Consider the following 15,448-nt stretch of genomic DNA (forward strand, 5'->3'; position numbering starts at 1 on the left):
ATATTTATTAACTTATTTATATTCAAATGAATTAAATATTTAGTGCATGCTTGGACCTGGGAACACACAGCCATCAGTGCCACACGAACTCTGTCCTCACTGCAGTTGTTTTCAGATGACCTCAGAGGAAAATAAGAGGGAAACCACTGGCAATTTCCTTCCGTTGATACCTTAGCTGACTACATAGCTCATGTTAGGTCGGTCTTAATGAGGAAATCAGAATATTCGGGGTTTCAGTATTAAAACTACAAATCTCTATAGCAAGCATTCAGAGCTCTTTGGATTAGACATCAGTGGCTGCAGTAATGTTACCTGAGAAACCCACACACTTTCTGAACACTGGCATGAGTATCCTTTCCTTTCGGTCCACTATATATGGAAAAACACTTTCACCCATCACCCTAAGTGTCCCAAACTGCAGAAGAGGCAGATAGTAGCCAGCTAGTCCCTGTCAAAGGCCCATTGCCTTTTTCTGGGTCAGCCTGGTCCACCCAGCCTGAGGTGCTCTCTGAGACAGCCTAGCCACCACGCCACATGCCCTTCAGCCTAATCAGAGCATCAGGATGCTGTGCACGGCCATTAGCTGGGGTGACTCAGAATTATCTGCTGTAGAACAGGGCTCTGAGTGAAGGATGTGGTCACTCAGACCACGTAGATGGTTCAAGCTCTTACTCCTCTGTCAGCTCAGAGCCTGCACAGTGGAAAGGAAGTGCATCTATTGATTTCTTGGCCAAAAGAACTAGTTAATACATTTTTAAAAACTTTGACATTTTGTTTTAAAGCAACAGTGGGCCTTGTTTAACTAAAATCTCATTTCTCCAGCCTAATTTTGCTGGAAAGGCCCCAAACCAAGGCAAGCCCCTGGAGGAGAGAGAGCAGCTAGGATGCTGGCACCAGATGGCTTTGTTCCCCAGCCTTCAATATACTCAGTTAGAAAATAACCACATCAGAGGTTTGATAAGATTATCCCCCAGGCCATTTTTCAGGTCTAAATGTTACCATATTTTATACGAGAATACGGTATTTGAATCAACTCTCAGGGGACCCAGCCTTCAGGAGACACTGAAGGAATACAGACATTTTTTCTAGCTTCAAAAGCATGGTTTGCAAACTGGCTTGTTCTTTGCCGGAGAAAACCACACACGTGGCCATTGACGCCCTTGATTGGCAGAGTTGATGGGATTTTCTCTGGCTCTCACCTTGAGGGCATCATCAGCATCCTGAAGTCACTTGCAGGCCTCTGTGCAGATGTCCTTTCGAGGGGCTTCAGGCTGTGGAAGTGACCAGTGAACACAGGACCTGCCTGGACTCCCAGCCTCACAGCACAGCACCACAGCCTGGACTGCCCTCTGCCTGATACTTGCTTGGTTTGGAACTTTACTCCATCAAAGCATCCAAATAAAAATATGTAGACTCCCCACCCTATCCCATCTGCTATAGGGTTCTAATTCCCCCACAGCCATCCCATCACAGTGCTTTCCCCCATGACGGGGGACCCCTGCCCTGGACTCCATCCCTCCCCTACTGGAAAAGCACAGGTGCTGTGGCATGAGTTCAACCGACTGAAATTCCCTGATCTTCACAGTAATAATTCTAAAATAGGGCAACAATACCCCTGTCAGTGTTCTTGGAAGAACCTCTCATTACTTGAGGCCCCAGAAATGCAAACACCCTCCTGTTTTCCAGTGTGCTGTCAACCCTGGCATCAGAGCTGTTCCTGCCATGGACACTGGTAATTGACTTACTGGAGAAAGTCAAGCTTTTAAGTCCCAGGAATAAAGGGTTCCTATTTCCTTAAGCTGTGTTTATTTTTACACCATTGCTGGTAGAGTCAATGTGTACTGAGTGAAGATGAGGCAAAAGTGTCAAAGAGTGATTTCCAATAAGATGAAAAGTGATCTGCAGTTTCCACTTCCTTAACCAGCAGGAAACGTCTCTCCTGTAGCATCGGACAGTGGAGGCAGTGGCGCTCAGTGTGGGGCCTCCTGGCTGAAGGAGGGGACAATATGGTGTCCCATCTCCCGAGATGCTGTATGCACCTCACCTGGCTGGTGATTTACTTGAAAGAAACCCATGTGTGGAGTAGGGAGTGCTGCCTTTGGCATCTACCCATGTCCTGCTCTGGACTCTGCCTCTTAGCAAGGGTGACTTGTGGGCCCAACTCACCTGGTGGCTGTGAGCCACTGCACTCCAGCCTGGGCAACAGAGTGAGGCCTTGTGTGAAAATAAAATAAAATAAAATATAAAAATAAAAATGAGCCAGGAATGGTGGCTCACGGCTGTAATCCCAGCACTTTGGGAAGCCGAGACAGGCGGATCACATGTGGTCAGGAGTTGGCGACTAGCCTGATCAACATGGAGAAACGCTGTCTCTACTAAAAATACAAAAAATTAACCTGGTGTTGTGGCTCATGCCTGTAATCCCAGCTACTCAGGAGGCTGAGGCAGGAGAGTCGCTTGAACCCAGGAGGTGGAGGTTGCAGTGAGCCAAGTTCCCGCCATTACACTCCAGCCTGGGCAACAAAAGCGAAACTCCGTCTCAAAAAATAAAATAAAAGACTTTAAGTCATTCATCAATTTTATGTATCTACTATTTCTTCTCCCATTCCATAAAGCCTACAGTCATACAACAGAAAGGGAAAATCAGGACAGCCACATATAAATAAAGGTGCAAAGTTGAGGCAGGAGTGGACCTTAAGGGCCAAGCAGAGGTCATTGCTGAGCCCTGGTCATTTAGCCCTGGGCTTTCTGGAAGCCAGAGTGAAAAGAGAGACACAATCAGCTGCATAAGAGTTATCAAAAAGCAGGAAGCGCGCTGGTTTTCCTGGTACTAAAGCAAGGGCTTTCCAAGAATTTACCTCTAAAGTAATTTCTTTTGTTCTTTCTTTTTTCTCGCTCTGACACCCAGTTGGAGTGCAGTGGCACAATCAGGGCTCACTACAACGTCTGCCTCCCAGGCTCAAGCCATCCTCCCACCTCAGCCTCTCAAATAGCTGGGACTACAGGCACGCACCACCATGCCTGGCCAGTTTTTTGGTATTTTTTGTAGAGGTGGGATTTTGCCATGTTGCGTAGGCTGGTCTGGAACTCCTGAGTTCAAGCAATCCACCCACCTTGGCCTCCTAAAGTGCTGGGATTTCAGGCATGAGACACTGCGCCCAGCCTAAAGTAATTTCTTACTTGAGATTTTATTTCAGGCTACTGTGTCATGCACTGGGCAGTACAGCCTGGTGGGTGAGAGCACAGTGGTTTTTTTTGTTTTGTTTTGTTTTGTTTGTCTTCTGGGTTTGGGTTTGAATTTTAATACGTGCAATTTATTCTGTGCTTCACTTTCTTCATCTGTAACATGGAGATAACGGCGTCTACCTATTAAAGTTGTGAAGATTCAATTAGATGAGTTGTATGAATAAGTGTTAGCTGTTATTTTATTTTATTTATTTTTTTGAGACAGAGTCTCGCTCTGCGCCCAGGCTGGAGTGCAGTGACGCAATCTTGGCCCATGGCAACCTCCGCCTCCCGGGTTCAAGCTATTCTCCTGCCTCAGCCTCCCAATTAGCTGGGATTACAGGCGCCTGCCATCATGCCCGGCTAATTTTTGCATTTTTAGTAGATCCGGGTTTTCACCATGTTGGCCAGGCTGGTCTCGAACACCTGACCTCTGGTGATCCACCCGCCTCAGCCTCTCAAAGTGCTGGGATTACAGCCGTGGGTCACTGCGCCCAGCCAGCTATCAAGAAATCCGACTGCCTACTACTTAGCCTGCACAGTTTCAGGTGCTGGGGAAATAGTGATGAACAAGACAAACAAGATCCTCATCTTCAAGTAGCTTTTACATTCTAAGTGGAGTGAAAAAACAATAAACATTGAAAATAAATTTCAGAAAGTGCTGTGGAAAAACTTTACAACAGATGCAGGAATAGATTTCATTTGACTAGTTCTCCCAGTTTCCAGAAAAATCAAGGGTAGAATGTTAAAAGGCAACTCAGAGGTGAATCTGTTAGGGCCTACGGTAATGCAATCCTGGTTTGTGGAATTCCGCAGGCTAGTGTGGGTAGGTTACAATTTTGGGGGGAGGGCTTTATTTTGTTTGAAAATTCACTTCTTCCCGCTAAGCTTTTGATTAGGAGCTGAAGTTGAATCAGTTTGAAATTGTATTCTGGATCGAGTGCGGTGCTTCATGCCTGTAATCCCAGTGCTTTGGGAGGCCGAGGTGGGTGGATTGCTTGAGCCCAGGAGTTCGAGACCAGCCTGGACAAAATGGCAGAAACTCCATGTCTACAAAAAATACAAAAATTAGCCGGGCATGATGTTCTGCGCCTGTAGTCCCAGCTACTCAGGAGGCTGAGGTGGGAGGATCGCTTGAGCCCAGGAGGCGGAGTTTGCAGTGAGCTGAGATGTCACTGCATTCCAGCCTGGGAGACAGAGCCAGACTCTGTCTCAAAAGAAAAAAAGAAAAAAAAAAAAGAAAAGAAAAAACGAAATTGTATTCTGAATACATCTTCTAAAACACTACATTTACTTGCACTATATTAAACTGGTTTTATCCTGACCACAATTGCAGGTGAAAGATACCACTGTTGTTCTATTTTTCTGGTAAGTAGAGTGAGCCATGTCTTCCCCAGGGAAAGACGCCTCCTAAAAATTTGTAGGACCACCTTTGGTTTTCTTCCAGATATTTTTTTTGTCATCGCTTTTCCTGCGCCCAATTCCCATCTGTCTAGCCCTTCTGCCTCCGCTGGTCTTTTTCGCGAGCCTCTCCCCAGCCGCAGGTATTCGTCTGGGCTGCAGCCCCTCCCATCTCCTGGGGCGTGACCACCTGTCCAGGCCCCGCCCCCGTCCAACCCGCGGAGACCCGCCCCCTTCCCCGGACACCGGGTTCAGCGCCCGAGCGTGCGAGCGCGTCCCCGCTCGTCGCCCGGCTCGGCGTCGGGAGCGCGCTCTGTGTGGTCGCTGCTGCAGTGTTGTTGTGGCTGTGAGAAGGCGGCGGCGGCGGCGGAGCAGCAGCCGGACCAGACTCCCTAGTAGCTCAGGCGCTGCCCTGCGCCGGCCCTGGCAGGGAGCCTGGTGAGATGGTGGAGGAGGAGGCTGTGCCGTGGCTGGCCTTGCTGTGTCCTGCTGCCTGGTTAGAACCCCATCCCCGTCCCCCGTCTCCTCCGGGGGGTGAGGAGGAGCTGGAAGAGGGGCCGGCCTCTGTCCGGCCCGGCCAGGCGGCAGTCACCCTCTGAGGAGGCAGCGCCCGGGGAGGGGCCTCCCAGGCGGCCGCCGCCGCCAGGGGGAGGCGCTGGGAGTGGGAGTGGGAGCGGGACCTCAGCTGCCAAGCTCGGCCCGGACCCTAGGTGCGGGGGAGGCGGGGTCCCGGGCTCGGGCTGCCTGCCCGGACCTGGCGGGGATGGGCCCGTGCGGCTCCGGGTGTGGGACGTACCCTCAGAGCGCCCGGGGTTATTCCCACTGACTCCAGGGAGGTGAGTGTGCGCCCTTCGCTCCCTGCCGTGTCTGTGAGGGTCCATCGTTGCCGGAGACTGGAGGTCGGGGGCCATGGGAGCCCCGGGGCGAACGGTGCGGACATGGGCCTTGTGGAAAGGAGGAGTGACCGCCTGAGCGTGCAGCAGGACATCTTCCTGACCTGGTAATAATTAGGTGAGAAGGATGGTTGGGGGCGGTCGGCGTAACTCAGGGAACACTGGTCAGGCTGCTCCCCAAACGATTACGGTGTTATTTCTCCGGTAGAAATTTTGCTTGGTGTATGGCACTTCCGGACCCATAAGATGATGTCAGTTGTATTTTGGGCTGGAAAAATTATGTCAAAATTATGGGGTAGATTTTATGGACACATTAATAGACTCCCCTGGAGTTTGATAATCTCACTTGTGAGTTTTGGACATGAACTACTATTACATATTGATGTTCGAATGTCGTTTCCAGACCCAGACCTAAATTCTTACTGTTCTAGTATCTTGATATCCACTTTGTTTTCTGACATCTATTTTTCCACAACCCAAACAAACAAAACCCCAAAACCATATACTTTTCCAGTTGAGGTTCAACTTTCTCACAGTAAATCCCTGCCCATCTGGGATTACAGGAGTAATAGCAACACAGTGTGTGTTTATAGATAGCAGCAATAATACATTTATTATATATAATATAATAAATGTATTAATATTATATATTTGTATATATACAAATATATATAATTACATATATTTATTAAATATATAAGTAAAAATTTATTATATATAAATTTTAATTTATATATAAAATTACATATATAGTAATATGTATTGAAATACATATTACTATAAATGTAATATGTATTGAAATACATATTACTATAAATGTAATATGTATTTCATTTGTGTATATGTCAATATACACAAATGGAAGCAATGACTACGTAATAAGTGCTAAGTCTTTTTTGTTCTTGTTGTTTTGAGATCAAGTGTCACTCTTGTTTCCCAGGCTGGAGTGCAATGGTGCAATCTCGGCTACTGCAACCACTGCTGCCCGAGTTCAATCGATTCTCCCCTCAGCCTCCCAAGTAGCTGGGATTACAGGTGTGTGCCACCACACCCGGCTAATTTTTGTATTTTTAGTAATTTTCCCCAGTGTGTGGCTTGGCTTTTCACTCTCTAAATGGTGTCTTTTGATGAACAGAAATTGTTAATTTTATGAAAGTTTAATTTATCAATTATGGTTAGTTATAGTTATGTACAATTTGGAAAATCATTGCCTATCCCAACATTATAAAAATAATGTCCTACATTCTTTTTTAAGAGGTTACATTATTTTACATTTCTCAGCAGGGTCTCAGATCTAGTTGATGTGATTTTTTCAAATCACAAACTCACTTTTGTATAGGGTTTGAGGAGGGGTCAAAATAAATTTTTCCTCATAGATATCCAGTTGATCCAGCACCTTTTATTGAAAAGGCCATTCCTCACACTAAATTGTAGTAGTGCTTTTGTCAAAAATCAGGTGACTGTATATAGAAAGGTCTGTTTCTGATCTGTTTTCTGTTTTATTATTCTAGGTGTCCATGCTTGTTCTAATACCTTACTATTTGATTTACTTTAGCTTTATACCAAGTTTTGATGTTTAATCATGTAAATCCTCAACCTTTGTTCTTTTTCAAAGTTATCTTGGCTATTAAATTCTTGGTATTTCTAAATATAGTTTTAAAACAGTGTCAGACAATGCTTTTTTATTATTTAAAGATGAGATACTAAGTACCTGAACACAATGACAAATTCTATGATCTTCTGAAACTAACCTCCGGGTGTGAGAATTTGAAGGTTAGTGGATAGAAGATGGCCGAATAGGAACAGCTCCGATCTGCAGCTCCCAGTGAGACCAACACAGAAAACAGGTGATTTCTGCATTTCCAAATGAGGTACCTGGTTCATCATCATTGGCACTGGTTGGACAGTGGGTGCAGCCCACAGAGGGTGAGTTGAAGCAGGGCAGTGTGTCACCTCATCCGGGAAATGCAAGGGGTCAGGAGATTTCCTTTACCTATCCAAGGGAAGCTGTGACAGACTGTACTTGGAAAAATGGTACACTTCTGCCTAAATACTGTGCTTTTCCCATGGTCTTAGCAACCAGCAGACCAGGAGATTCCCTCCCATGTCTGGCTCAGTGGATCCCACGCCCATGGAGCCTTGCTCACTGCTAGCACAGCAATCTGAGATTGACCTGAGAGGCTGCAGCCGGGTGGAGGGAGGGGGGTCTGCTATTGCTGAGGCTTCAGTAGGTAAAGAAAGCAGCCGGAAAGCTCAAACTGGGTGGAGCCCACCACAGCTCAACAATGCCTACTGCCTCTATAGGCTCCACCTCTTTGGACAGGGCATAGCTGAACAAAAGGCAGCAGACAACTTCTTCAGACTTAAACATCCCTGTCTGACAGCTCTGAGAGAGAAGTGGTTCTTCCAGCATGGTGTTGGAACTCTGAGAATGGACAGACTGCCTCCTTAAGGGGGCCCCTGATCCCCGTATAGCCTGACTGGGAGACATCTCCCAGTAGGGGCCGACAGATACCTCATACAGGTGGGTGCCCCTCTGCGATGAAGCTTCCAGAGGAAGGATCAGGCAGCAATACTTGCTCTTCTGCAGCCTCTGCTGGTGATGCCCAGGCAAACAGGGTCTGGAGTGGACCTCCAGCAAACTCCAACAGACATGCAGCTGAGAGGCCTGTTAGAAGGAAAACTAACAAACAGAAAGGAATAGCATCAATATCAACAAAAAGGACATCCACATTAAAACCCCATCTGTAGGTCACCAACATCAAAGACCAAAGGTAGATAAAATCACAAAGATGGGGAGAAACCAGAGCAGAAAAGATGAAAATTCCAAAAACCTAAGCACTTCTTCTTGTCCAAAGGATCGCAGCTCCTCACCAGCAACAGAACAAAACTGGACAGAGAATGACTTTGATGAATTGACAGAAGTAGGCTTCAGAAGGTCGGTAATAACAAACTTCTCTGAGCTAAAGGAGCATGTTCTAACCCACTGGAAGGAAGCTAAAACTCTTGAAAACAGGTTAGATGAATGGCTAACTAGAATAAATAGTGTAAAGAAGACCTTAAATGACCTGATGGAGATGAAAACCACAGCATGAGAACTTCGTGACGCATGCACAAGCATCAATAGCTGATTCAATCAAGTGGAAGAAAGGATATCAGTGATTGAAGATCAAATTAATGAAATAAAGTGAGAAGACAAGATTAGAGAAAAAAGAGTAGAAAGAAATGAACAAAGCCTCCAAAAAATATGGGACTATGTGAATAGACCAAATCTACATTTGATTGGTGTACCTGAAAGTGACAGGGAGAATGGAACCAAGTTAGAAAATATTCTTCAGGATATTATCCAGGAGAATTTCCCCAACCTGGCAAGGCAGGCCAACATGCAAATTCAGGAAATACAGAGAATACAACAAAGATACTCCACGAGAAGAGCAACTCCAAGACACATAATTGTCAGATTCACCAAGGTTGAAATGAAGGAAAAAATGTTAAGGGCAGCCAGAGAGAAAGGTCGGGTTACCCACAAAGAGAAAACCATCAGACTAACAGCGGATGTCTCAGCAGAAACCCTACAGGCCAGAAGAGTGGGGGCCAATATCCAACATTCTTAAAGAAAAGAATTTTCAACCCAGAATTTCATATCCAGCCAAACTACGCATCATAAGTGAAGGATAAATAAAATCCTTTACATACAAGCAAATGCTGAGAGATTTTGTCACCATCAGGCCTGCCTTACAAGAGGTCCTGAAGGAAGCAATAAACATGGAAATGAACAATCAGTACCAGCCACTGCAAAAACATGCCAAATTGCAAAGGCCATCTACACTATGAAGAAATTACATCAACTAAGGGGTAAAGTAACCAGCAAACATAATAATGACAGGATCAAATTCACACATAACACTATTAAATGTAAATGGGCAAAATGCCCCAATTAAAAGACACAGACTTGCAAATTGGATAAACAGTCAAAACCATCAGTGTGCTGTATTCAGGAGGCCCATTTCACATGCAGAGACACACATAGGCTCAAAATAAAGGGATGGAGGAAGATCTACCAAGCAAATGGAAAGCAAAAAAAGCAGGGGTTGCCATCCTAATCTCTGATAAAACAGACTAAACCAACAAAGATCGAAAGAGACAAGGTCATTACATAATGGTAAAGGGATCAATTGAACAAGAAGAGCTAACTATTCTAAATATATATGCACCTAATACAGGAGCACCCAGATTCATAAAGCAAGTCCTTAGAGACCTACAAAGAGACTTAGACTCCGATGCAATAATAATGGGAGACTTCAACACCCCAATCTCAATAGTAGATCAATGAGACAGAAGTTTAGCAAGGATATCCAGGATGTGAACTCAGCTCTGCACCACATGGACCTAAATAGATATCTACAGAATTCTCCACCCCAACTCAATAGAATATATATTCTTCTCAGCACCACATCACACTTATTCTAAAATTGACCACATAATTGGAGGTGAAACATTCCTCAGCAAATGTAAAAGTACAGAAATCACAACAAACTGTCTGTCAGACCACAGTGCCATCAAATTAGAACTCAGGATTAAGAAACTCACTCAAAACTACACAATGACATGGTAACTGAAGAACCTGTTCCTGAGTGACTACTGGATAAAAAATGAAATGAAGGCAGAAATAAATATGTTCTTTGAAACAACATACCAGAATCTCTGGGACACATGTAAAGCAGTATGTAGAGGGAAATTTATCGTACTAAATGCCCACAAGAGAAAGCAGGAAAGATCTAAAATCAACAGCCTAACATCAAAATTAAAAGAACTGGAGAAGCCAGAGTAAACAAATTCAAAAGCTAGCAGAAGGCAAGAAATAACTAAGATCAGAGCAGAACTGAAGGAGATGGAGATACAAAAAACCGTTCCAAAAATCAATGAATCCAGGAGGTGGTTTTTTGAAAAGATCAACAATAGATAGACTGCTAGCAAGACTAATAAAGAAGAAAAGAGAGAAGAATCAAATATGCTCAATAAAAATGATAAAGGGGATATCACCACCAATCTCACAGAAATATGAACTACCATCAGAGAATACTATAAACACCTCTATGCAAATAAACTAGAAAATCTAGAAGAAATGGATAAATTCCTGGACATACACACCCTCCCAAGACAGAACTAGGAAGAAGTTGAATCTCTGAATACACCAATAACAGGTTCTGAAATTGAGGCAATAATTAATAGCATACCAACCAAAAAAAGTCCAAGACCAGATGGATTCACAGCTGAATTCTACCAGAGGTACAAAGAGGAGCTGGTACCATGCCTTCTGAAACTATTCCAATCAATAGAAAAAGAGGGAATCCTCCCTAACTCATTTTATGAGGCCAACATCATCCTGATACCAAAGCCTGGCAGAGACACAACAAAAAAAGAGAAATTTAGACCAATATCCCTGATGAACATCAGTGCCAAAATCCTCAATAAAATACTGGCAAACCAAATCCAGCAGCACATCAAAAAGCTTATCCACCATGATCAAGTGGGCTTCATCCCTGGGATGCAAGGCTGGTTCAACGTACACAAATTAATAAATGTAATCCATCACTTAAACAGAACCAATGACAAAAACCACATGATTATCTCAATAGATGCAGAAAAGGCCTTCGACAAAATTCAACAGCCCTTCATGCTAAAAACTCTCAATAAACTAGGTATTGATGGAATGTATCTCAAAATAATAAGAGATATTTAAAACCCACAGCCAACACCATATCGAATGGGCAAAAGCTGGAAGCATTCCCTTTGAAAACCACCACAAGACAAGGATGCCCTCTCTCACCACTCATGTTCAACATAGTGTTGGAAGTCCTGGCCAGGGCAATCAGGCAAGAGAAAGAAATAAAGGGTATTCAATTAGGAAATTAGGAAGTCCAATTGTCCCTATTTGCAGATGACATGATTGTATATTTAGAAAACCCCACCGTCTCAGCCGAAAATCTCCTTAAGCTGATAAGCAACTTCAGCAAAGTCTCAGGATACAAAATCAATGTGCAAAAATCATAAGCATTCCTATAATGTTGCCGGAAGTCAGGGACCCCAAACAGAGGGACCGGCTGGAGCTGCAGCAGAGGAACATAAATTGTGAAGATTTCATGGACATTTATCTGTTCCCAAAATTAATACGTTTATAATTTCTAACACCTGTCTATACTGCAATCTCTGAACATAAATTGTGACGATTTCAGGGACATTTATCAGTTCCCAAATAGTACTCTTTGAATTTCTTATGCCAGTCTTTACTTTAATCTCTTAATTCTGTTATCTTCCTAAGCTGAAAATGTACATCACCTCAGGACCACTATTGTACAAATTGATTGTAGAATATGTGTGTTTGAACAATATGAAATCTGATTGTAAAACATGGGCGTTTGAACAATATGAAATCAGTGCACCTTGAAAACGAACAGAATAACAGCGATTTTAGGGAAGAAGGGAAGACAACCAAAGGTCTGACTGCCTGCGGGGTCAGGCAGAATAGAGCCATATTTTTCTTCTTGCAGAGAGCCTATAAACAGATGTGCAAGTAGGAGAGATATCGCTGAATTCTTTTCCCAGCAAAGAATATTAATAATTGATACCCTGGGGAAGGAATGGATTCCTGGGGGGAGGTCTATAAACAGCTGCTCTGGGAGTGTCTGTCTTATGCGGTTGAGATAAGGACTGAAATACGCCCTGGTCTCCTGCAGTACCCTCAGGCTTATTAGGGTGGGGAAAAGATCCCGCCCTGGTAAGTTTGAGGTCAGACCAGTTCTCTGCTCTCAAACCCTGTTTTCTGTTGTTTAAGATGTTTATCAAGACAATATGTGCACAGCTGAACATAGACCCTCATCAGTAACTCTAATTTTGCCCTTTGCCTTGTGATCTTTATTGCCCTTTAAAGCATGTGATCTTCGTGATATACTCCCTGTTCATACATGCTCTCCCCTTTTAAAGTCCTTAATAAAAACCGGCTGGTTTTGTGGCTCAGGGGGACATCACGGACCTATTGTTATGTGATGTCACCCCCAGAGGCCCAGCTGTAAAATTCCTGTCTTTGTACTCTTTTTCTTTATTTCTCAGGCCAGCCGACACTTAGGGAAAATAGAACCTACATTGAAATATTGGGGGCTGGTTCCCCCGATACTATAAACCAGTAACAGACAAACAGAGAGCCAAATCATGAGTGAACTCCCATTCACAATTGTTACAAAGAGAATAAAATACCTAGGAATCCAACTTACAAGGGATGTGAAGGACCTCTTCAAGGAGAACTACAAACCACTGCTCAATGAAATAAAAGAGGACAAAAACAAATGGAAGAACATTCCATGGTCATGGATAGGAAGAATCAACATCATGAAAATGGCCATACTGCCCAAGGTAATTTACAGATTCAATGCCATCCCCATCAAGCTACCAATGACTTTTTTCACAGCATTGGAAAAACTATTTTAAAGTTCATATGGAACCAAAAAAGAGCCCACCTAGCCAAGACAATCCTAAGCAAACAGAGCAAAGCTGGAGGCCTCACGCTACCTGACTTCAAACAATACTGCAAGGCTACCGTAACCAAAACAGCATGGTACTGTTACCAAAACAGGTTATATAGACCAATGGAACAGAAAAGAGGCCTCAGAAGTAACACCACACATCTACAACCATCTGATCATGGCAAACCTGACAAAAACAAGCAACAGGGAAAAAATTCCCTATTTAATAAATGGTGTTAGGAAAACTGGCTAGCCATATATAGAAAGCTGAAACTGGGTCCCTTTCTTACACCTTATACAAAAATTAACTCAAGATGGATTAAAAACTTAAACGTTAGACCTAAAAACCATAAAAACCCTAGAAGAAAACCTAGACAATACCATTCAGGACATAGGCAAGGGCAAAGACTTCATGACTAAAACACCAAAAGCAATGGCAACAAAAGCCAAAATAGACAAATGGGATCTAATTAAACTAAAGAGCTTCTGCACAGCAAAAGAAATATCATCAGAGTGAACAGGCAACCTACATATTGGGTGAAAATTTTGCAATCTACCTATCTGACGAAGGGCTAATATCCGGAATCTACAAAGAACTCAAACAAATTTACAAGAAAAAAAACAACCCCATCAAAAAGTGGGCAAAGGATATGAACAGACAGTTCTCAAAAGAGACATTTATGCAGCCAACAGACACATGAAAAAATGCTCATCATTACTGGTCATCAGAGAAATGCAAATCAAAACAACAATGAGATACCATCTCATGCCAGTTAGAATGGCAACCATTAAAAAGTTAGGAAACAACAGATGCTGGAGAGGATGTGGAGAAATAGGAAAGCTTTTACACTGTTGGTGGGAGTGTAAATGAGTTTAACCATTGGGGAAGACAGTGTGGTGATTGGTGATTCCTCAAGGATCCAGAACTAGAAATAACATTTGACCCAGCAATCCCATTACCGGGTATATACCCAAAGGATTATAAATCATGCTACTGTAAAGACACATACACACGTATGTTTATTGCGGCACTCTTCACAATAGCAAAGACTTGGAACCAACCCAAATGTCCATCAGTGATAGCCTGGGTTAAGAAAATGTGGCACATATACACCATGGAATACTATATAGTCATAAAAAAGGATGAGTTCATGTTCTTTGTAGAGACATGGATGAAGCTGGAAACCATCATTCTCAGCAAACTATCACAAGGACAGAAAACCAAACACTGCATGTTCTCACTCATAGGTGGGAATTGAACAATGAGAACACATGGACACAGGAAGGGGAACATCACACACCGGGGCCTATTGGGGGGTGGGCAGCTGGGAGAGGGATAGCATTAGGAGAAATACCTAATGTAAATGATGAGTTGATGGGTGCAGCAAACCAACGTGGCACATGTATACCTATTTAACAAACCTGCACTTTGTGCAAATGTACCCTAGAACTTAAAGTCTAATAATAAAAAAAACAAATTTAGTGGACAAAGTGAGTAGCTATCTTTTCTGCTTTCATCTCACTAAACCTAGTTTAATAATCAGATTGCAATAACATAATAAATTTTATAGTAAGATTGTATGTAATTACCTATATATTGGAAGACAAGGGAAAATTTATAACTGTGAGTGCTGATGAAGCTAACATATTACCTGCATTTTGAAGTGTGAATGAACATTCAACAGGAATGCACTTATTTCATGGAATAAGATGTAAGATGTAAGAGATATGAAAGAAAAATATGAGTAATGTAATAAGTAATGCTTTAAAAAAAAGTAGGGAAGCCATTAATGTACTGTGACTGTTACATTATGTTCAAAATGAGAACTAAAGCCATATTCAACAGATGCCTCCCACACTTTTATCATACTCTTCTTATATCTGTACTTTTTTTTTTTTTTTTGAGACAGAGTCTCTCTCTGTCACCAAGGCTGGAGTGCGATGGCGTGATCTCAACTCACTGCAACCTCCGCCTCCTGGGGTCAAGTGATTCTCCTTCCTCAGCCTCTCGAGTAGCTGGGATTACATGCATGTGCCACCATGCCCAGCTAATTTTTTGTATTTTTAGTAGAGATGGGGTTTCACCATGCTGGCCAGGCTGGTCTCAAATTCCTGACCTCATGAACCGCCCGTCTCAGCCTCCTAAAGTGCTGGGATTACAGGCATGAGCCACCATGCCCGGTCTTAGATCTGTACTTTCTAACAGAGCAACACAACCAGCATTTCTAACAAATGCTGCAAATCTTAAAGACGATGGTGTTCAGCATAATCTAAGAATACAGAGCATAAAAACCTATTTTGGAAAAAATATTAAAAGCATAATGGTAAAATTCAACACTTATTTTTAGAACCTACTGTGTGCCAGGCACTTTAAAAAATGTTTTTAATACAAGGATGAGCAAAATTGGT

The 15,448-nt window shown here is 43.1% G+C and overlaps 1 long non-coding RNA gene and 1 other non-coding gene across 3 annotated transcripts in view, besides 1 other annotated feature; both read left to right on the plus strand.

Annotated features, from left to right (window-relative positions):
• Positions 531-825: an enhancer, noted in NCBI's record as "tiled region #13119; K562 Activating DNase matched - State 9:DNaseU". NCBI's record gives its function as "activates a minimal TATA promoter and a strong SV40 promoter by Sharpr-MPRA in K562 cells {active_cell/tissue: K562}" and the evidence as "EXISTENCE:reporter gene assay evidence [ECO:0000049][PMID:27701403]".
• Positions 4,907-15,448, plus strand: part of LOC112268283 (uncharacterized) — a 29,739-nt gene continuing 19,197 nt past the window's right edge. Inside the window, exons 1-3 of one of the 2 annotated variants that reach the window (XR_007067922.1) lie at positions 4,907-5,122; positions 5,459-5,637; positions 6,460-6,554. This is a non-coding gene — a long non-coding RNA (uncharacterized LOC112268283). The remainder of the gene's footprint in view (positions 5,123-5,458; positions 5,638-6,459; positions 6,555-15,448) is intronic. The other variant, XR_007067923.1, reaches the window with a different exon arrangement.
• Positions 5,592-5,677, plus strand: MIR8069 (microRNA 8069). The gene has a single exon (NR_128718.1). It is a non-coding gene; the product is annotated as a microRNA 8069 (primary transcript).

The sequence above is a fragment of the Homo sapiens genome, chromosome 21, assembly GCF_000001405.40.
Source record: "Homo sapiens chromosome 21, GRCh38.p14 Primary Assembly".
NCBI classification, from domain to species: domain Eukaryota; kingdom Metazoa; phylum Chordata; class Mammalia; order Primates; family Hominidae; genus Homo; species Homo sapiens.